The sequence below is a fragment of the Homo sapiens genome, chromosome 12 (genome assembly GCF_000001405.40).
Source record: "Homo sapiens chromosome 12, GRCh38.p14 Primary Assembly".
Lineage (NCBI taxonomy): Eukaryota > Metazoa > Chordata > Mammalia > Primates > Hominidae > Homo > Homo sapiens.
Window position 1 is genome coordinate 98484179 of NC_000012.12, and position 20707 is coordinate 98504885.

General features: G+C 44.4%; 1 long non-coding RNA gene and 2 other non-coding genes across 3 annotated transcripts, besides 3 other annotated features; 2 read left to right on the forward strand and 1 right to left on the reverse strand.

The window, feature by feature from the left end:
- Nucleotides 1-1365: 1365 nt before the first annotated feature.
- On the reverse strand, nt 1366-19677 carry LINC02453 (long intergenic non-protein coding RNA 2453). The gene is made up of 4 exons (NR_038383.1): nt 19582-19677; nt 18405-18434; nt 9253-9306; nt 1366-3010 (listed from the first exon to the last, which is right to left on the reverse strand). It is a non-coding gene; the product is annotated as a long intergenic non-protein coding RNA 2453 (long non-coding RNA).
- Nucleotides 6353-6647: a silencer, noted in NCBI's record as "tiled region #8350; K562 Repressive non-DNase unmatched - State 7:EnhWF". NCBI's record gives its function as "represses a minimal TATA promoter and a strong SV40 promoter by Sharpr-MPRA in K562 cells {active_cell/tissue: K562}" and the evidence as "EXISTENCE:reporter gene assay evidence [ECO:0000049][PMID:27701403]".
- On the forward strand, nt 19325-19396 carry TRD-GTC1-1 (tRNA-Asp (anticodon GTC) 1-1). Its single transcript has one exon. It is a non-coding gene; the product is annotated as a tRNA-Asp (tRNA).
- Nucleotides 19415-19724: an enhancer, noted in NCBI's record as "active region_6841". NCBI's record gives its function as "activates an Ori minimal core promoter by ATAC-STARR-seq in GM12878 lymphoblastoid cells {active_cell/tissue: GM12878}" and the evidence as "EXISTENCE:reporter gene assay evidence [ECO:0000049][PMID:35858748]".
- Nucleotides 19735-20034: an enhancer, noted in NCBI's record as "active region_6842". NCBI's record gives its function as "activates an Ori minimal core promoter by ATAC-STARR-seq in GM12878 lymphoblastoid cells {active_cell/tissue: GM12878}" and the evidence as "EXISTENCE:reporter gene assay evidence [ECO:0000049][PMID:35858748]".
- TRW-CCA4-1 (tRNA-Trp (anticodon CCA) 4-1) lies at nt 20074-20145 on the forward strand. Its single transcript has one exon. It is a non-coding gene; the product is annotated as a tRNA-Trp (tRNA).
- The last annotated feature ends 562 nt before the right edge of the window (nt 20146-20707 follow it).

Here is a 20707-nt window from a genome sequence, read left to right on the forward strand (position 1 = left end):
TATGTTTCCGCAGATATCCATTACCTGACCCAAACTGCAGCCCTGCCAGATGTCCCAGCTGTGATATATCCTGTGTTTCCCAGAACTCACTCTTGACCCTGACCGCAGACTTCCCAAAAGGAGCTCTTGCATTCTCTCAGGAACGCTGCCACTGAACGTGACCCAGAGCTTATCTTTTGAGAGCCTGCTGCAATGGTTGGGCTTGCCACTCAGTTGTCAAAAATAAGCAATATAAGGCCAGGAGCCATGGCTCACACCTGTAATCCTAGCACTTTGGGAGGCTGAGGCAGGCAGATCACTTGAGTCCAGGAGTTCAAGACTAGCCTGGGCAACGTGGCGCAACCCTGTCTCTACCAAAAAAGAAAATACAAAAATTAGCCGGGCATGACGGTGCATGCCTGTAGTCCCAGCTAATTGAGGAGCTGAGGTGGGAGGACTGCTGAAGCCTGGGAGGTCAAGGCTGCAGTGAGATGTGACTGTGCCACTACACTCCAGCCTGAGCAACAGATCAAGACTCTCAAAATAACAACAACAAAGATATTTTTTGTTCTCATCAAATACAAAAAATAAACAATCTAATATTTAAGGATACATATAGGTGGTAAAACTATAAAGCAAAGCAAGAAATAATTATCAAAAAATCAGGATAGTGGTTATCTCTTGAGGAGGAAGAAGAAGATGATGATTAAAGTAGAGCACGCAGAGGATTTTCAAGTCACTGGCAAAGTTTTACATGTTCATCTGGATAACAGGTACACAGGTGTTCATTTTACCATTATTCTATAAACTCTCTGTATTTTTATACAGTCTTCTGTGGTATTATGCTTAACACATAAATGCTTAATAAAAGATAGCGTTATTATAAATTGAGGAAATGCAAGACATGAAACTACAAATTAAAATTCCATCCGGCCGGGCGCAGTGGCTCATGCCTATAATCCCAGCACTTTGGGAGGCCGAGGCAGGCGGATCACGAGGTCAAGAGATCGAGACCATCCTGGCCAACATGGTGAAACCCCATCTCTAGTAAAAATACCAAAAAAAAAAAAAAATTAGCCAGGCGTGGTGGCAGGCGCCTGTAATCCCAGCTACTTGGGAGGCTGAGGCAGGAGAATCGCTTGAACCCGGGAGGCGGAGGTTGTAGTGAGCCGAGATCATGCCACTGCACTCCAGCTTGGGCAAAAAGAGCAAAACTCTGTCTCAACAACAACAAAAAAATAAAATAAAATTCCATCCTGACTGCTTTGTCCTTGAGTTTCTTTCCTTAGAATTTACTAGAGTGTTAAAAGTTTCATAGGAAATAGTCTCTGAATATCAGGAACACTTTAGAGTTTCCACCAGTGGGGAAAAGATGAGCTATTCAATAAACAATATTAGATTTTATTCATATCTCAAATCTTACACCAAAATAAATTTCAGATAGATCAAGACTTACATGTGAAAAAAATGAAAACTTGAAAGTAAGACAAGAAAATATGGGAGAATTATTTTACAATCTGGGAAAGCCTTTCTAAGCATGATGCAAAATATAGATGCAATAAAACGAAAGAAGCTAAATATAAATACATGTTTTAAATTCTGCTTAGTAACAACACCAGAAACAAACTCAAAAGGCATGAAAAGCTTGGAACAACTATTTGTATTCCTATGGATTGATAAGAAAAAGACCAGTAATTCACTGAAAAAAAAAAAATGGGCAGAGGATATGAACAGACAGTTCTTAGAAATTTCAAATGGCTTTTAAACATATGAAAGTATGCTCTATCTTTCCATAATAAAGAAAATGCAAATTTAAAATACCAGATTGGCACAGATAAAAATTTTGATAACACCATGTGGGTGAAGGTTAGAGAAACAGATGCTCTCACATATTGCTGGTGGGAGTGTAAACTGGCTCAACCCCTGCGGAGAACAACTTGACGATATCTATCAAAATCTAAAGCGCATGTTTTGGCAGGCGCCATGAGTTGTGTACCCCAAAATCATTGCTCCATACTCCTTGTTAATAGAATCCATTTGTTCAAGTGGCAATGTGCCAAGCCCCAAGAAACGAATTTATGTGCAGATGCATTCATATTCATTAAGCACTTACTGGGTGCTGGGCACTGTTCTGGGCTCTGGGGATGCAACAGAGAAGGAAGCAGAACAACCTCCCCCCGCCTTCATGACAATCCTGCACCCACTGATGAAGATACCAGAGCAAAATGGCAATAGTGGTATTTTGATGTGTATTTCAGATAATAAATGACCACCATATAATTTTTCATCAAAACTCACACACTTTTGAGATTGAATGCAATGCTATTAAAAAATATACTAGGGCCAGGCACGGTGGCTCACGCCTGTAATCCCATCACTGTGGGAGGCCGAGCCAGGGCGTCACTTGAGGTCAGGAGTTTGATACCAGACTGGCCAACATGGCGAAACCCCGTGTCTACTAAAAATACAAAAATTTGCCAGGCATGGTGGTGCGTGCCTGTAATACCAGCTACTCAGGAGGCTGAGGCAGGAGAATCACTTGAACCCAGGAGGTGGAGATTGCAGTGAGCTGAGATCACGCCACTGCACTCCAATCTGGGTGACAGAGCGAGACTCTGTCTCAAAAAAAAAAAAAAAAAAAAAAATGCTAGGACAAGAGGTACAAACTGGCCTTGTCCCAAGCAAACTGGGAAATATGGTTACCTGTAATCCTAAAACATTGATGATGTCAACACTGCCTCAGTTGCTATGATGCCCTTCAATTCTAAAATGACTCCATCACGAAAGTGAAGAAAATCAGAACCCAAACTAGCTCTAGAGAAAAGATACTCAACCTCTTTAATAATGAGGAAAATATAGAAACAAATCAATAATAAGATGCCTTGGAAGGATTTGAAAGACAGGAATGATAGGTTCAGAATGGTTTCAAAACTTGTCCAACTTTTCTAACATGGTGATATCTGTGTAAAAAAAAAAAAAAACTTGTCCAGCTTTGATTTGAAATTGTAATGCAGTCTTCTGGATGTATCTCCTGAAATAGAAATGATGAAAACATCATTGTTGAATTGAGGAAAAATGGTGTTATACTAACAAATTTCAGCTCTTACACCCAGCACAGAAAACTAGAATAAAAAAAAAAAAAAACTAATATTAGAATCATTATTCATACCCTTTTGCCTGGCAGTCAGTTTCCCAGCCTCTGTGTGGCCCAATAGTGGTTAATGAAACAGGAAAACAACTGTCAGGATTTCCCTGGAAAGGCTTTCTCCCAGTAAAAAGGGACATTCAAAAGTATAGTGTGCTGGAGCTGCCTCTTCCCTCATGTTCCAGCCTTGAAACTGGCCATGATGGCTGCAGCAGCTACTTTGCAGACATGAAGTGACAATCATGAAAAGAAATGTCCTTTTGCTAAAGGTAGCAGAGAAGAAAGACCCAGAACAAGAAGAGAGTACTCAAAGCCTATGATGGCCTTGTTGAGCTGCCAGACCAACCCCAACATCACTCAAGAGAATTGTTGTGAGTTAGAAATGGGAGAGAAGTTGGGCATGTGTTTCATGCCTATAATTCCAGCACTTTGGGAGGCCGAGGCAGGCAGATCACTTGAGGCCAGGAGTTCGACACCAGTCTGGCCAACCTAGTGAAACCCTGTCTCTACTAAAAAATACAAAACTTACCCGGGCATGGTGGCATGCCTATAATCCCAGCTACTCTGGAGGCTGAGGCAGAAGAACTGCTTGAAGCCGAGAGGCAGAGGTTGCAACAAGCTGGGATCACGCCATTGCACTCCAGCCTGGGTGACAGAAAGAAGCTTGTCTCAAAAAAAAAAAAAAAAAGAAAGAAAAGAGAAGAAAAAATGGGAGAAAGACTTTCCTCTCCATACCTTATACCTCCTGGTATCTGGTACTTTTTGAACTTTGTTCTGTGTGCATGAATTGCCTATTCAAATAAAACTGTAATGCCTGAGGTTTTTTTGTTTGTTTGTTTGTTGTTGTTTTTTTTTGAGATGGAGTTTCACTCTTGTTGCCCAGGCTAGAGTGCAATGGTGTGATCTCGGCTCACTGCAACCTCTACCTCCCAGGTTCAAGCAATTCTCCTGCCTCAGCCTCCCGAGCTGGGATTACAGGCGCATGCCACCATGCCAGGCTAATTTTGTATTTTTAGTAGAGATGGGGTTTCACCATGTTGGCCAGGCTGCTCTCGAACTCCTGACCTCAGGTGATCTACCCGCCTCAGCCTCCCAAAGTGCTGGGATTGCAGGCATGGGCCACCACGCCTGAGATCTTATCAATCAAGTATTTAAACCAAAAATATTTTACATCTACATTTTTTTAGTGGAAATACAATTTTAAAAAGCACAGTTTAGCCAGGTGCAGTGGCTCACACCTGCAATCCCAGCACTTTGGAAGGCTGAGGCAGGCAGATCACCTGAGGTCTGGAGTTCAAAACCAGTCTGGCCAACATGGCGAAATCCTGTCTCTACTAAAAATACAAAAAAAAAGAAAAAAAAAATCAGCCAGGCATGGTGGCGGACGCCTGTAATCCCAGCTACTCGGGAGGCTGAAGCAGGGAGAAATGCTTGAACCCGGGAGGTGGAGGTTGCAGTGAGCCGAGATCGTGGCACTATACTCCAGCCTGGGTGACAGAGTGAGACTCGGGCTCAAAAAAAAAAAAAAAAGGCACAGTTTGAGGGTGGGGGCTCGCACATGTAATCCCAGAACTTTAGAAGGCTGAGGAGGGAGGATCTCCTAAGCCCAAGAGACCAGGCTGGGCAACAAAGTGAGATCTCATCTCTATAAAAACCAAACAAAACAGTCTGGTGAAAAATGCGATAGAATGAAGTATATTATAGACAAAAGGGACCTTCAGTATCAACTCTCACATATTGATTGTCGATGAAGAAAAGAGTCAAACTCTGTAAAATATTTGAAGAGACTTATTCTGAGCCAAATATGAGTGACCATGGCCAGTGACACAGCCCCAGGAAATCCTGAGAACGTGTGCTCAAAGTGGTCGGACTACAGCTTTTTATTACACATTTTAGAGAGACAGAAGACATCAAAAAATACATGTAAGATGTACATTGGTTCAGTGAGGGTGGATGGGGCGCTTCTACATCATGAGTGAATTCAAAGATTTTCTGATTGGGAGTTAGTTGAAAGAGTTTATCTAAAGACCTGAAATTTATAGAAGGGAGTGCCTGAATTAAGATAAGGGGTTGCGAAAACCAAGGTTCTTGTTATGCAGATAAAGCCTCCAGGTAGCAGGCTTCAGAAAGAACACATTGTAATTATTTCTGGGTCTCACTCCATCACCCAGGCTGGAGTGCAGTGGTGCAATCTCAGCTAACTGCAGCCTCAACCTCCCAGGCTCAAGCCATCCTCGCACCTCTCAGCCTCTGGAGTAGCTGGGATTACAGATGCGCGCCACTACGTCCTGGTAATTTTTGTATTTTTAGTAGAGACAGGGTTTCACCGTGTTGCCCAGACTTATCTCGAACTCCTGGGCTCAAGCAACCCACCTGCCTCGGCTTCCCAAAGTGCTGGGATTACAGGAGTGGGCCACAGCACCAGGTCAGATTGTAAAACTTTTAATTTTTATTTATTTTTTTTATTTTATTTTATTTTATTTTATTTTTTGAGACGAAGTTTCGCTCTTGTTGCCCAGGCTGGAGTGCAATGGTGTGATCTCGGCTCACTGCAACCTCCACCTCCCAGGTTCAAGTAATTCTCCTGCCTCAGCCTCCCAAGTAGCTAGGATTACAGGCGCCCACACCCCCACCCCATGCCTGGCTAATTTTTGTATTAGCCAGAGATGGGGTTTCACCATGTTGGCCTGGCTGGTCTCGAACTCCTGACCTTCAGGTGATTCACCTGCCTTGGCCTCCCAAAGTGCTGGGATTATAGGCGTGAGTCACCATGCCCAGCCAAAAATTTTATTTTTTACCTTTTTAAGGTGCAAGACTCTCAGTAAATTCTCTCCTGGTTAAGGAAAAATATCTGGAAAGGGAAGGGGATTCTCTACTGAAAGTAGATTTTCCCCACAAGAGACACCTTTGCAGGGCCATTTCAAAATGTGTCAAAAATATATATATATTTTTTGGGGTAAACTACTTCAATTTACTTCAGGGCCTGCTGTCTGTCATGTTGGTATCTTACTGCTACAAAAAGCCTTCTTTGTCAGACTTATGTTAATGCTGGTCAGATGTGCCTGAATCCCAAAGGGACTCTGTCCCAAAGGGAGGAGAGTATAATGAGGCTTGTCTGACCACCTGTTCCCATCATGACATGAACTAGCGTTTCAGGTAACTTTGGAATGCCCCTGGACAAGGAGGCATCCATTCAACTGATTGGGGAGCTTAGAATTTTATTTTTGGTCTACATGGTAAAGCTTAAAGTTGCGGAAATCATTATCCTCAGTCAAGCTAAAGCCTAGGTATCCAGACCTCTCTTTCACCTAATTTATTTGCAATTAATCCAAAGTTCTAGGCCAGGCACAGTGACTCACACCTGTAAACCCAGTCCTTTGGGAGGCGGAAGCATGGAGGATCACCCGAGGCCAGGAATTCAAGGCTGCAGTGAGCTAAGATTGCACCACTGCTCTCCCGCCTGGGTGACAGAGCAAGACCCTGTCTCTAAAAGAAATTTTTAAAACAAATAACAAAGTACTGGTTTATGCTGTATTTATAAAACAACATATGTAGTAAGATTTTCTTAGTTTTAGAACCCAGAAAGCTGTGCCAAATGCTTTGAGAGTTGACTTATTTCCTATTAGGTTTTTTAAATACTTGCAGTCCAGATACTGCTTTTAATTTTTTAAAAAACAGTATCCATACTTACAGGCTCTGATTAAGTTTCAAAGACTAAGCCTGCCATGCTTGTCGGTGTGTGATTCCTTCCTCTAAGATTCCAGACATTCCCGTCTCCAGGCATCACTGTGTCGGGGGAGCGCTGTGTGAAAATGGCTGTGATCTTTGTGCGGTTTGTCCGGTTATACCTCACTGGGACACCAGAGGGCGCAAGGAGGGCCAGCACTTGTTTTTCTTTAAATCTCGAATCAAAGTCCATGCAGAGAACAACAAAAGACCCGGAACACAGGGGCCTTGAGACAAAGGGACTCAGGGGAAAAGGCTGCACGCCCTGTTTTACTGAAGTGGAATTTGCTTCTTCACCCTCCTCACCTCCTCACCTCCTCCCCACCTTAAGGAACTAGAAATAAACAACTTAAGCTGCAAAATAATGAAATCTGGCTAACAAGGAAAACCAAACTAGAATACATTACTCAACATGTCATAGGCTAAGAGGACTATCACAAATGTACATTTGAGCTATTTGCTTTGCCTAATATTAATAACTTTAAAGAAAATTTTATTGTTTGCTTTTCTGAGTTCAATATATGCACATAGTAGAAAATTTAGAAAAGGTGGAATAGCAAAAAGAACAGCGATCATCAACACACTCTTAACCCAGATATAACTACTTTTAATATCTTCAGCTACTTCTTTCCAGATGTTTTCTTCTTTCTTTCTTCCTTTTTTTTTTTTTTTTTTTTGAGACGGAGTCTCACTCTGTCCCCATGCTGGAGTATAATGGCGCGATCTAGGCTCACTGCAACCTCCGCCTCCCAGATTCAAGTGATTCTCCTGCCTCAGCCTCCCGAGTAGCTAGGATTATAGGCACCCACCACCACGCCCAGCTAATTTTTGTATTTTTAGTAGAGACGGGGTTTCACTCTGTTGGCCAGCCTGGTCTCGAACTCCTGACCTCAAGTGGTCCTCCCGCCTCAGCCTCCCAAAGTGCTGGGATTACAGGCATGAGCCACCGCACCCAGCCACCAGACGTTTCCAGTACTTACAAATGCATAGAAAAAAAATGGGATTCTGCGTGCTATTTTGTGCTGGTTCTCTTCTTATTTTCTAGATCACTAACTTCATTTTATTGATAAATTCTGATAATAAAACTTTGCTAATCATATGAGTTAATCACAGGTAGGAGAATAAGAAATTTCAAAAGCTACAGGCAGCTTTTTTCCCAAAATAGCAGCAACTTGAATGCCAGACCTGAGTCATGCATTTGAAGCAGAAGTTTTTCTGTTGCTTTGTGTTTAGAAAACACGGAAAGACTAAAGAAAAGGCCTGTCGCAGTGGCTCACACCTGTAATCCCAGCACTTTGGAAGTCCAAGGCGGATCACAAGGTCAGGAATTTGAGACCAGCCTGGTCAACATGGTGAAACCCTATCCCTATTAAAAATACAAAAATTAGCCAGGCATGGTGGCCCGCACCTGTAGTCCCAGCTAATCGGGCAGCTGAGGCATGAAAATTGCTTGAACTTGGGAGGCGCAGGTTGCAGTGAGCCAAGGTCACACCACTGCACTCCAGCCTGGGTGACAGAGTGAGACGGGTCTCAAAAAAAAAAAAAAAATCCAAAGAAAAGAAGTAGAAACTGTTCCATCCCACCCCAAACAGGCTGAATAATTTGTCCTTCTGGGTAGCCTGAGGACTGAATGCCAAAGGGCCAGGGGGTGTGGGTCACCAGGACCCTTTGTTCCTCACACTGGGGCTAGTGTTTGCCTCAAAGCTAGACAGATCAGTAAAGCTATTAACCGGGATAGGTCAGCAGGTGGTCAGTAGGGCAGGAAAAAAGTCAGGAAAACGGAGGTCACTGATCTCCTGTTGGGTTGGGGCCAATGTTGGCAGGCAGGTTCCTTAAAGGACAGGAAGCTTAGGCCAGCCCAGGAACAGATAACTCTAAGGAAAGTGATGGCAAGATCTGAGGCCCTGAAAACCTCTGAGGGACACCTAATCACTAAGCCCACAGATTCCTTAATTTACAGCAACAGATAAAGGTGATGTTCTCGGCCACAGGAATTTAGTTAAATCACTGGAGCTGTCTGGCCTCAGTTTCCTTATCTGTATAACGAAAGGATCAAGAAGATAGGTAAGGTTCCTGTCAGTTCCTCAAAGATTGTGATGTTTAATTCTCCCCAGTCATGCATTATAATGAAAGGTGAAGACATTTCCTGCCCCCTGCCACTCCAGTCCCCTAAGCAGCAGCCCCTCCACCATATACTCTTTCCCGCATTGCCACTTTTCCCAAATTGCCACATGCTCTGAGCCTTTGTATTAATGTTTCTCTGTTCCCTAAGTGCTGGAAAACATTTCCCCCATTCTTTTTCTAAGTTCATCATCATTCTTTGGTGGCCCAGCTAAAAATAGGTCTTTCTTTGACCACTCCAGCCCTTCCCTCTCTGTAATCCCGTAGTATTCTGCACATACCTCCATCACTTTCTACCTCTGTAGCCTTCATCTTCCAGTGCCTCAGTTTCCTCACTGTAAAAAGGAGAAAATTATTATAGCAAACTCATAGGATTTAAATAAGGATTAAATGGTATTAAATAAAATGTATAGTAAGTCATTGGTTTGAACTGAGTTCCTACACTAGGCCCAACAGACAAACCAAAATAGAGTCACTCATGCTGGAGTTCCACACCACTAAGCTGAAAATAAGTTGTTTATCTGACCTTCCAAGAAATCAGGAGGGGGCGGAGCATGGTGGCTCACACCTGTAATCTCAGCACTTTGGGACGCCAAGGCAGGTGCTGAGCTTGAGATCAGGAGTTCAAGACCAACCTGGGCAACATGGAGAGCCCCCACCCCCCAACACCACCACCATCCCTCTACAAAAAATACAAAATATTAGTGGCATAGTGACGCGTGCCTCTGATCCCAGCTACTCCAGAGGCTGAGGTGAGAAGACCGGTTCAGGCAGGGATTGCAATGAGCTGTGATCACCCCAGCCTGGGTGACAGGGCAAGACCCTGTCTCAAAAAAAGGAGAGAAAAAAAAGAGAGAAAGAAATCAGCAGCGAGATATAATAGTCAAATCCCCAAGCAGGTCAGTTTTCGCTGGAATGATAAGAAGGTCCACTCTGCTTTAACCTTTAAACGGAAAGTAACTTTAAAGCACCAATCCACTTTGTGTTTTCTGTTTCTGCTTTGCTCAACCCTTTTTTGTCTATAAAGCCAACCTTGGCCAGGCAAGGTGGCTTATGCCTGTAATCCCTGCATTTTGGGAGGCCAAAGCAGGTGGATCACCTGAGGTCAGGAGTTTGAGACCAGCCTGGCCAACATGGTGAAACCCCGTCTCTACTAAAACTACAAAAAATTAGTTGGGCATGGTGGTGGGCACCTGTAATCCCAGCTACTCAAGAGGCTCAGGCAGGAGAATCTCTTGAACCTGGGAGGCAGAAGTTGCAGTGGGCTGAGGTTGTGCCACTGCACTCCAGCCTGGGCACCAAGAGCGGAACTCTGTCTCAAAAATAAAATAAAAGCCAAACTCTTCTGTTCAGCTCATTGAAATACTCATTCTATTTTATGGAATGAGATGTTGCCTGATTTTAGAATCACAAATGGAAGCCAATTAAGATCTTTAAATCTGTTATAACTTTGTCCTTGGACAATGGTTAATATTATATAAGGCACTTGAAGCCTAAGGCATAGCAGGCTCTCCATCAGCATGAGCTATGCCTCCACCATAGCACTTACCAAATTGTATTGTAACTATCAGTTAAAAGTCCACCTCCCTCAAGAAATTTGAGTTCCTTGAGGGCAAGAAGTGAGTCTTACTAATTTTTTGTGCCCAATGCCTATCTCCATGCTTGGCACAAAAGATAAATCAATAAAGATTTATTTTTTTAAATAAGGAGGGAAAGAAAAGACTAAGTGTTAGTCGAGCTGAAGGGAGACAGACTTTTGCCTCTCAGTTTTTTGTTTTTTGCTTTTTTTTTGAGACAGAGCCTCGCTCTGTCGCCCAGGCTGGAGTGCAGTGGCGTGATCTCGGCTTACTGTAACCTACGCCTCCAGGGTCCCAGTTCAAGCAATTCTCCAGTAGCTGGGATTACAAGTACATGCCACCATGCCCAGATAATTTTTGTATTTTTAGTAGAGACAGGGTTTCACCATATTGGCCAACCTGGTCTTGAATTCCTGACCTCGAGGTCCACCCACCTCCTCTCAGTTTTAACTTTAAATTATTATTTAAATAAATTAGAGGCTGGGCCCAGTGGCTCATGCCTATAATCCCAGCACTTTGGGAGGCCAAGGCAGGCAGATGATTTGAGGTCAGGAGTTTGAGACCAGCCTGACCAACATGGTGAAACCCCGTCTCTACTAAAAATACAAAAAACTTAGCCGGTCGTGGTGGTGCACACCTGTAATCCCAACTACTCAGGAGACTGAGGCAGAAGAATCACTTGAACCCAGGAGGTAGAGGATGCAGAGCCGATACGGCGCCAGTGCACTCCAGTTTGGGCAACAGAGTAAGACTCTGTCTCAAAAAATAATAAATAAATAAATAAATAAATAAATAAAGACTGGGGAATAGTGAAGTATGAGCATCCCGAATATCTTCCCCACCCCTCACTTTAATAATTTAAACATGTATCCATCTAATTTGCCTTCCAGGCCCAAATCAAAAACATTCACCTTTCAATTTTAATGTTTATGGACAGTAAGTTCTTGTAATTTCCCATAATCTATTAAACTCAAATTTCCAAAATTTGGGTAGTTTCCAGTTTTTGACTATTATAAATACAGCCATTATAAACATAAGTGTGCAGGGTTTTTTGTGGACATATGTCTTCATTTCTCTCAGGTCAATATCTACGAGCAGTGTTGCTGGATCTTAGGATAAATGTATGTTTGTTTGTTTGTTTGTTTGTTTGGAGACAGTGTCTGGCTCTGTCACCTAGGCTAGAGTGCAATGGCTCAATCTCAGCTCGCTGCAATCTTTGCCTCCCGGGCTTAAGCAATTCTCCCACCTCAGCCTCTTGAGTAGCCCAGACCACAGGCACATGCCACCACACCTGGTAATTTTTGTATTTTTTGTAAAGATGAGGGGGGTCTTACCATATTGCCCAGGCTGGTCTCGAACTCCTGGACTCAAATGATCCTCTTGCCTCAGCTTCCCAAAGTGCTGGGATTGCATGTTCGAGCCACTGTGCCCAGCCTACATCTTAATTATGGTCAAAATTCATAGACTAGTACCCTTAAAAAGAGTAAATTTTACCCTCATAAATTATACCTCAATAAACCCTAAAAATAGTAAATAAGTAAGTGGAGACAGACAGACAGACAGACAGACAGACAGAAATAAGAGGCACTCCCCCAAAAGTTCTCAACACAGCCTGGAAGGCCCTGCATTGTCCTACTCCCATCAGCCTTTTCAGCCTCATCTCCCCATGATGCTGCTCACCCTCTGCTCCTCTCTAGTCACTTCTGCCTTCTTTCACACCCTCTACTCACCACATTTCCTCTGTTCCTACAACCTTAGCACATCCAGTTCCATCTACCTAAGAAGCTCTTTCCTTTGCTCTTCCCCATTATCTTAGTAACTGTCACAGTTGTAATTTTACTTTTTTTGGTTTGTGTGTTTTGGAGACGTAGTCTCGCTCTGACGCCCAGGCTGGAATGCAGTGGCACGATCTCTGCTCACGGCAACCTCCCCCTCCCAGGTTCAAGCAATTCTCCTGCCTCAGCCTCCCAAGTAGCTGGGAGTGCCCACCACCATGCCCCGCTAATTTTTTGTATTTTGGTAGAGACGGGGTTTCACCGTGTTGCCCAGGCTGGTCTCGGATTCCTAAGTTCAGGCAATCCGCCTACCTCGGCCTCCCAAAGTGCTAGGATTACAGGTGTGAGCCACTGCACACGGCCTGTAATTTTACTTTTTTATTTTTGTTATTCTTTTACTAGTGTTATGTGTCTCCTCCACTGAAATAAAAGCTCCTTGAGACCAGGGTCTTTGTTCATCACTGTATCTCCAGAACCTAGTACTGTGTTTTACCTACACAATGAGTGTTCAACCATTATATTCAACTGACTACTTCATGTCTCAACCTTAACATGTCCAAAACTGAAATGTTGATCATCCCCCTGCTCCCACCAGGGTCATTACTCCACATGCAGGGCTGCCATAGTGCACAATTCCAAGGAGTGCCATCCACAGCACAGTCTATGGATGGCATCTTGCCTCTGTTAAAGTGAACTAAATATGGCCAGAGAAGGACTCCGTACTTCCATATTTGAGTCCTTATGGACAACCATAAGCTAACTTAATGGGTAGACAAGATTGAAAACCTAATTTAGAAGTATACGACTCTAACAATAGCTGAGTCTTGGCCAATCACAGCAGCCATACTTCAACCACTCATACACTGCTGAGTGTTCAAACTGTGTTTAAATAAGGCAAACGCCAACCTGTAACCAATCCAGCTGTTTCTGTACTTCACTTCCGATTTCTGTACCTCACTTCCCTTTTTTTGCCTGTAATTTGTTCTGACTACCAGGCATCCCTGGAGTCTCTCTGAATTTGCTGTGATTCTGGGGGCTGCCCGATTCGCGAATAGTTTATTGCTCAGATAAACTACTTTACATTTATTTATTTATTTATTAAGATGGAGTCTTGCTCTGTCGCCCAGGCTGGAGTGCAGTGGCTTGATCTCTGCTCACTGAAACCTCCACCTCTCGGGTTCAAGCGATTCTCCTGCCTCGGCCTCCCAAGTAGCTGGGATTACCGGCACGCGCCACCATGCCCGGCTAATTTTTGTATTTTTAGTAGAGACGGGGTTTCACCATGTTGGCCAGACTGGTCTCAAACTCCTGACCTCAGGTGATCCTCCCACCTCGGCCTCCCAAAGTGCTGGAATTACAGGCGTGAGCCACTGCTCCTGGCCAAATTCCTTTACATTTAATTCAGCTGAAGTTTTTATTTTAACAACTTCTTCCCAGTTATGCCCTTCACATGACTGCCAATATGAATGGTGCCCTCTGGAGTTGTGCATTACTCTTCTCAACCTCAGTGATGGCAACTCCATCCTTCCAGTTGCTCAGGCCAAAAATTCTGGAGGCATCCTTGACTCCTCTTTTTAACTCATATCTCACATTTACTCTACCAAGAAATTCTATTGACTCAACCTTCAAAATACATAGCACTTGGGGCCAGGCACAGTGGCTCAGGCCTGTAATTCTAGCACTTTGGGAGGCCAAGGTAGGAGGACCCCTTGAGCCCAGAAGTTCGAGACCAGCCTGGGCAACATTATGAAACAGTCTACAAAAAACACAAAAATTAGCTGGGCGTGGTGGCATGCACCTGTGGTCTCAGTTACTCAGGAGGCTGAGGTGGGAGGATCTCTTGAGCCCAGGAAGTTGAGGCTGCAGTGAGCCCTGATTGCGCCACTACACTCCAGCCAGGGTGACAGAGTGAGATCCTGTCTCAAAAAAATAAACAAAGTACATCAGCGCCTCTCACCTTCTCCATCACTTTCACTGTAGCCTGAACCACCCACCAACATCTCCCATATGGATTATTGCAATAGACTTCATAGTTCTTGTTTCTGCTCTTGCCCTCCTACAAACTACTCTCAATCCAGTAGCCAAAGATCCTTTTTTTTTCTTGAGACAGTCTCACTCTGTTGCCCAGGCTTAAGTGCAGAGCTATGATCATAGCTCACTGCAGCCTCGAACTCCTGAGCTCGAGTGATCCTCCCACCTCAGCTCCCCAAGTAGCTGTGACTACAGGTGTGAGCCACAACACCCAGTTAATTTTTTTTAATTTTTAGTAGAGATGGGGTCTTGCTATGTTGCCCAGCCAAAGACCCTTTAAAACATAAATCTGACCATATCACTACTCTGTTCAAAACCCTGCAGTTCTCAGGAAGTTAGAGAGGAATGATACTTACCAGAGGCTAGGAAAGGGCAAGGTGAAGGAGATGAAGACAGGTTAGTTAATGGGTATAAACATACAATCTGATAGCAAGAATAAATTCTAGGTCAGGCACGGTGGCTCATGCCTACAATCTCAGTACTTTGGGAGGTGGAGGCGAGTGGATCACCTGAGGTCAGGAGTTAGAGACCAGTCTGGCCAACATGGTGAAACACCGTCTCTACTAAAAATACAAAAATTAGCCAAGTGTGGTGGTGCGTGCCTGTAATCCCAGGTACTAGTGGGGGCTGAGGCTTGAATCCGGGAAGCGGAGATTGCAATGAGCCAAGATCAAGCCACTGCACTGCAGCCTGGGCAACAGAGCGAGACTCTGTCTCAAAAAAAAAAAAAAAGAAAAGAATAAATTCTAGTGTTGAATAGCACAGTAGGGTGACTACAGTTAACAATACTTTATTGTATATTTCAAAATAGCTATAAGAGAGGATTTGAAATATTCCCAGCACAAAGAAATAATAAATGTTGCAGGTGACGGATATGCTGAATGTCCTGATTTAATCATTACACATTGTATGCATGTATTAAAATATCACATGCACTCCATAAATATGTATAATTACTATGTATCAATTTTCTTAATGTTAAAAAAATCCAACAACCCTGAAGTGGGTCCCCGTTTCCCTAATTATAAAAGCCAAAGTCTTTCCAATGACCTCTAAGGCCCTCAGGCCTCCCAGACAGCTGCATGACTACATCTCTTACTTCCTTCAACTATGTTCAAATTATACCTTTGGCCAGGCGCGGTGGCTCATGCCTGTAATCCCAGCACTTTGAGAGACCGAGGTGGGTAGATTACTTGAGGCCAGGAGTTCGATACTAGCCTGGCCAACATGGTGAAACCCCATCTCTACCAAAAATTAGCCGGGTGTGGTGGCACAGCTACTCAGGAGGCTGTGGCACAGCTACTCAGGAGGCTGTGGCACAAGATCGCTTGAACCCGGGAGGCCAAGGTTGCAGTGAGCCAAGTTCTCACCACTGCCCTCCAGCCTGGGTGACAGAGCAAAACTCCCTCTCATGAGGCTTACCTTGACCTATTTAACTTGCTACTCTCCAAACCCCCTTACTCTGCTATTTTTATTTCTGCTCTTATAACTGTCTGACATACTTATGTATGATGTTTGTATCCATTTATCGTATTCATTGTTTATTATCTGTATTTCTTCTGTAGGATAAAAGATCTAGAAGAACAAGATGTATTTATGAGAACCTCCCCATGCATCTAAAAGAATGTCTGGCACGTTGCAGGTTCAATAAGTTAATGAATAACTACAGTGTCTGCCAAGTAATTAAAGATTAGCAAATATTAATATAGGAACAAGGGTGACACATATGTTGATACTAGTTATAAAGTTTTTCTCTCCATAGCATGTACTTATTTGTTAATATACATGTATATGGAACTGTGCAGGTAGGGTGAAAACTGGTTTTTGCAGTCAGAGCTTGGGTGATTCCTGGCCTTTCACCACCTCCTATCTGTGTGATCCTGCAGAAGATTCCCAAATAGGAATAAAAACACTTGTCCCATTGACCTAACAGGTTGTTGAGAAAATAAAATGAATGTGAATCATTTAGCAAGCTGAGATATGCAGCATAGTTCTTTAGGAAGAGCAGGATTTGAAACTTTGAATAACACTCATTGTCATCATGCCATTTATTCCCGAAGAGAGTTCCATGCCCTCTGTACTGCCAGTCAGATTTTAACCTTTATTTTTGCCCAGTGCTGACAGGGAGGAACCTCTGAGCTCCCTCACCCTGTTCAGGTTAATTGCCCTCTCTTTTCCTTTCCATTTTCGGATGATGGACAGCAAGTGCTGCGTTCCCTGCTCCCTGATCTCACTGACTCAGACTGCCTCTTACTTTCACCAGGGATGAAAAAGGAGCAGTAACAACACGTGTGTGAGCACTGGCATAGCTTTACGAGAGCTTCAGTGGAAAGGATGTCTCTTCTAAAGGAAGAGATGAAGCTGCTTTTCCCGAGAGTGCAGAACACGGGGCAAACAGTTGATTCAGGAGAACTGGGTTCACTGCCCCATAGCTCTACGAACTGAGAGACTTGGGGAAGTCCCTTCGATTTTACTAGGAAAAGGACGTCATCATAGCTATCACAGTGCCCTTTGGCCCTGGCAAAAGTTTTTGGAGGATCAAAGTGGAAGGAGGCTCCCACACACTGAGAGTTTGTATTGAGGCTTTCGGTGTAGTTAAGAGTGAAACAGGGGCCGGGCGCGGTGGCTCACGCCTGTAATCCCAGCACTTTGGGAGGCCGAGGCGGGTGAATCACCTGAGGTCAGGAGTTCTAGATCAGCCTGACCAACATGGTGAAACTGTCTCTACTAGAAATACAAAATTAGCTGGCTGTGGTGGCACATGCCTGTAATCCAGCTACTTGGGAGACTGAGGCAGGAGAATCGCTTGAACTCGGGAGGCAGACGTTGCAGTGAGCCAAGATTGTGCCATTGCACTCCAACCTGGGCAACAAGAGCAAAACTGCGTCTCAAAAAAAGAAAAGAGAGAGAGAGTGAAAAAGGGCTGAGCGCGGCCGCTTGAGGCCGAGGCGGGTGGATCACTTGAGGTCAGGAGTTTGAGACCAGCCTGACTAACATGGTGAAACCCCCGACTCTACTAAAAATACAAAAGGGAGTGGTGGCGTGCGCCTGTAGTTCCAGCTACTCGGGAGGCTAAGGCAGAGGAATCGCCCGAACCCAGAAGGCGGAGGTTGCAGTGAGCCGAGAGCGTGCCACTGCACTCCTGCCTGGGCGACAGAGCAAGACTCCGTCTCAAATAATAATAATAATAATGAGAGCAAAAAAGAAAGAAAAGCCAAAACAAGCCTCAGAAACTGCCATTTGTTTAATATCTGCATTAAAAAAATTATCCCTTCCATCAGATGAAAAATACCTTATAATTTATGATGGATAATACATTAATTCGTAGCACACTAGAAACAAGGGATTCCTTAAGACACATATGTGGGGTTTTTGTTGTTGTTGTTGTTGTTGTTGTTATTTTTATTATCTTTAAGGATAATTTGTTGGGTAGGGGTCAGTGAGTTGGGAGTCCTGATTGGTTGGGTCGGAGACGAGACACGTAAGTTTAAGTTCTATAATGAAACGCTTTCAATCATGTCAGTTTATCTGTGCCTATAAACACACTCCTTTAGAGAAAATCAAAAGTTTATAGCCAGGCGCGGTGGCTCACGCCTGTAATCCCAGCACTTTGGGAGGCCGAGGTGGGTGGATCACCTTAGGTCAGGAGTTCGAGACCAGCCTGACCAACGTGGTGAATTACCATCTCTACTAGAAACACAAATTGAACGGGCGTGTTTGTGGGCACCTGTAATCCCAGCTACTCGGGAGGCTGAGACAGGAGAATCGCTTGAACCCGGGGGACGGAGGTGGTAGTGAGCCAAGATCGCACCACTGCACTCCAGCCTGGGCAACAAGAGTGAAACTCCGTCTCAAAAAAAAAAGTTTACATATAAGGCTCTCTTAGTATCCCTGGGAAGAGGGTTCATCCTGTCTATGAACGGGTTTAGGATGACACAAATTATCAAATTATCCGATTAGTGCACTTTCCTAACCCATATGTTTAATCAGTGGCACATCCTGGTTTTGAATTATTTAAACGCATTATTATTTAGCCATTCACATACTTACGTTTGTCACTTCCAGTTAAACTGTAGCCACCTACAGAGAGCGAAACAGAAGTCGGCTGATAAAATTTTGATAAAATTTCATTTGCCCGCAGCTGGTCATTTCATTGGGCGCTTTTGTGTTACAAAAGTGTGTGAATTGGCCGGGCGCGGTGGCTCACGCCTGTAAATCCCAGCACTTTGGGAGGCCGAGGCAGGTGGATCACTAAAGGTCACGAGTTCGAGACCAGTCTGGCCAACATGGTGAACCCTCCCCCCCCCCACACACACACACACACCCCGCGTCTCTAGTAAAATACAAAAATTAGCCAGGCATGGTGGTGCGCGCCTGTAATCCCAGCCACTCGAGAGGCTGAGGCGGGAGAATCACTTGAGCCTTGGAGGTGGAGGTTGTAGTGAGCCCAGATCGCAACACTGCACTCCAGCCTAGGGGACAGAGCGAGACTTCCTCTCAAAAAAAAAAGACTTATGAATTGTTTGAAGAGGCACGAGACCGTGGCAACCCTAACTGTCCCCGACATCTGGCAGCCATATGCTATCCTTGAACTTGAACTTCAGAGTGAAAGTATAAATTTGTAAGGGGAAGGCTCAGCCGCAAGTCACATACCAGTGGTCAGTTAAAAAAAAAAAACTCAGGACGGCAACCTAAATCATTTAGAACGCGTCAAGAGCCTCGGAAAAACTATTTTCACACACTTCTCTAGCACTAACATGGGAAGCGCGTTTCCTTCACATATTCCACACCTTTTATTCTTCCCACCAACATCAAGAATACAAAGCGCCCAGAGAGGACAATAAGCCTAAGCAGCGGCTCCAAGAGACCGGACTTTCGTACTTCCCGGGGGCAGGCGGAAGGTTACGGAGCGCTGGAAGGATCTTACTGCTCCTTGAAGGGCTGTCTGAGAAAATACACAGCCTAACGACTCCTCGTTAGTATAGTGGTTAGTATCCCCGCCTGTCACGCGGGAGACCGGGGTTCAATTCCCCGACGGGGAGGTGTGTAGCTGCACTTTTTTGGCGACAGTTATTATTTTCTGTATCATTCAATGACAGGACACTGCTGTTAAACATAATATGCTAAACCAGCTCCCTTAAGTGCACAACCCTGTCTTCAAAATGGTGACTTTTAACCTTAATGCCCACCATGAAGTGAAAGCCTCCCCTGAGAGAAAATGCCTTACATTGTTTGCAGGAAGGGAGGAAAGGGAAAAAGAAAACGCTCTGAAGGCCTCTGCCCTTGCCTCCAGCCGCCATCTTGCGAAGGCCTGCGCCGGCTTAGTGGCGCCCCGCCAGATTACAACTCGAGGTCGCGAACTCAGCGCGCGGAACCTGTTGGGGGAGGGGAGAGAGGGCGGAGTCTCGCGACTAACGGGGCGGGGGCAGGGCGGGTAAGAACGGAAATCATTTGGTAAAGAAAAGGAAGGGCCAATTTCCTTTGATCCTGGAGACCCGACTAAACGGGAAGCCCCGTTCTCCCGCTTCCGCTGGTTACGTCCCAGCCTTGGTTAGAGGACTAGCAGTCAGGAAAGTTTGGACGCTGAAGGAATCGGTCTCCTGGTCCGACAGATACTGGGTGGAGGGGCAGAGAGTAAATGGAAGAGAAAGACTGGTACCCCTGGAAGAAACGCCATTTACTGGTGTCCTAAGAAACTGCGCGAGCCACAGCCCAGCAGGACCTCGTGGCGCAACGGTAGCGCGTCTGACTCCAGATCAGAAGGCTGCGTGTTCGAATCACGTCGGGGTCAAACTTTTTTTTTTTCCTCCTGTATTTTAAACTACCGACTACTAGAAGCCGAGGTGTATTCCTGCCGCCAATTTTCTTGAATGTTAGAATTAAGTTTTCCTCTTTCAGGTATTATGATACTAATCCTTGGTTTGCAGGAAGATATGATTTACTCTATATCGAAGAGCCTCAAGGCTGATGTTTTTATCATTTGGCCTTTTAAAGTGAGTTTTTTTGTCACTTAACATGCATAATGTGTAAAGAGGTGGACTATTACTGCTGTGCATTAGTGGGTGTATCAGTCCACTAGTCTATCACAGGAAGTGTACAATATACTGTACAAGCTGTTTTTTCCAAACAGTTTTAGGCTGTTTGCCTTTTGAAAGAGAGTACAATAGTGTACAATTTCTAATTTTGAATATTATGCTAATCAAGTGTCTTAGCCCTTACCATGTGCCAACACTGTGAACAACCTCACAATGTGTGACTATTATCCCACTTTTACAAATGTGGCTGTGGCTCACAGGGTTAGTGACCTGCCAAGGGTCACCCAAGATTCTGAACCAGGTGAGGGACTCTGGATC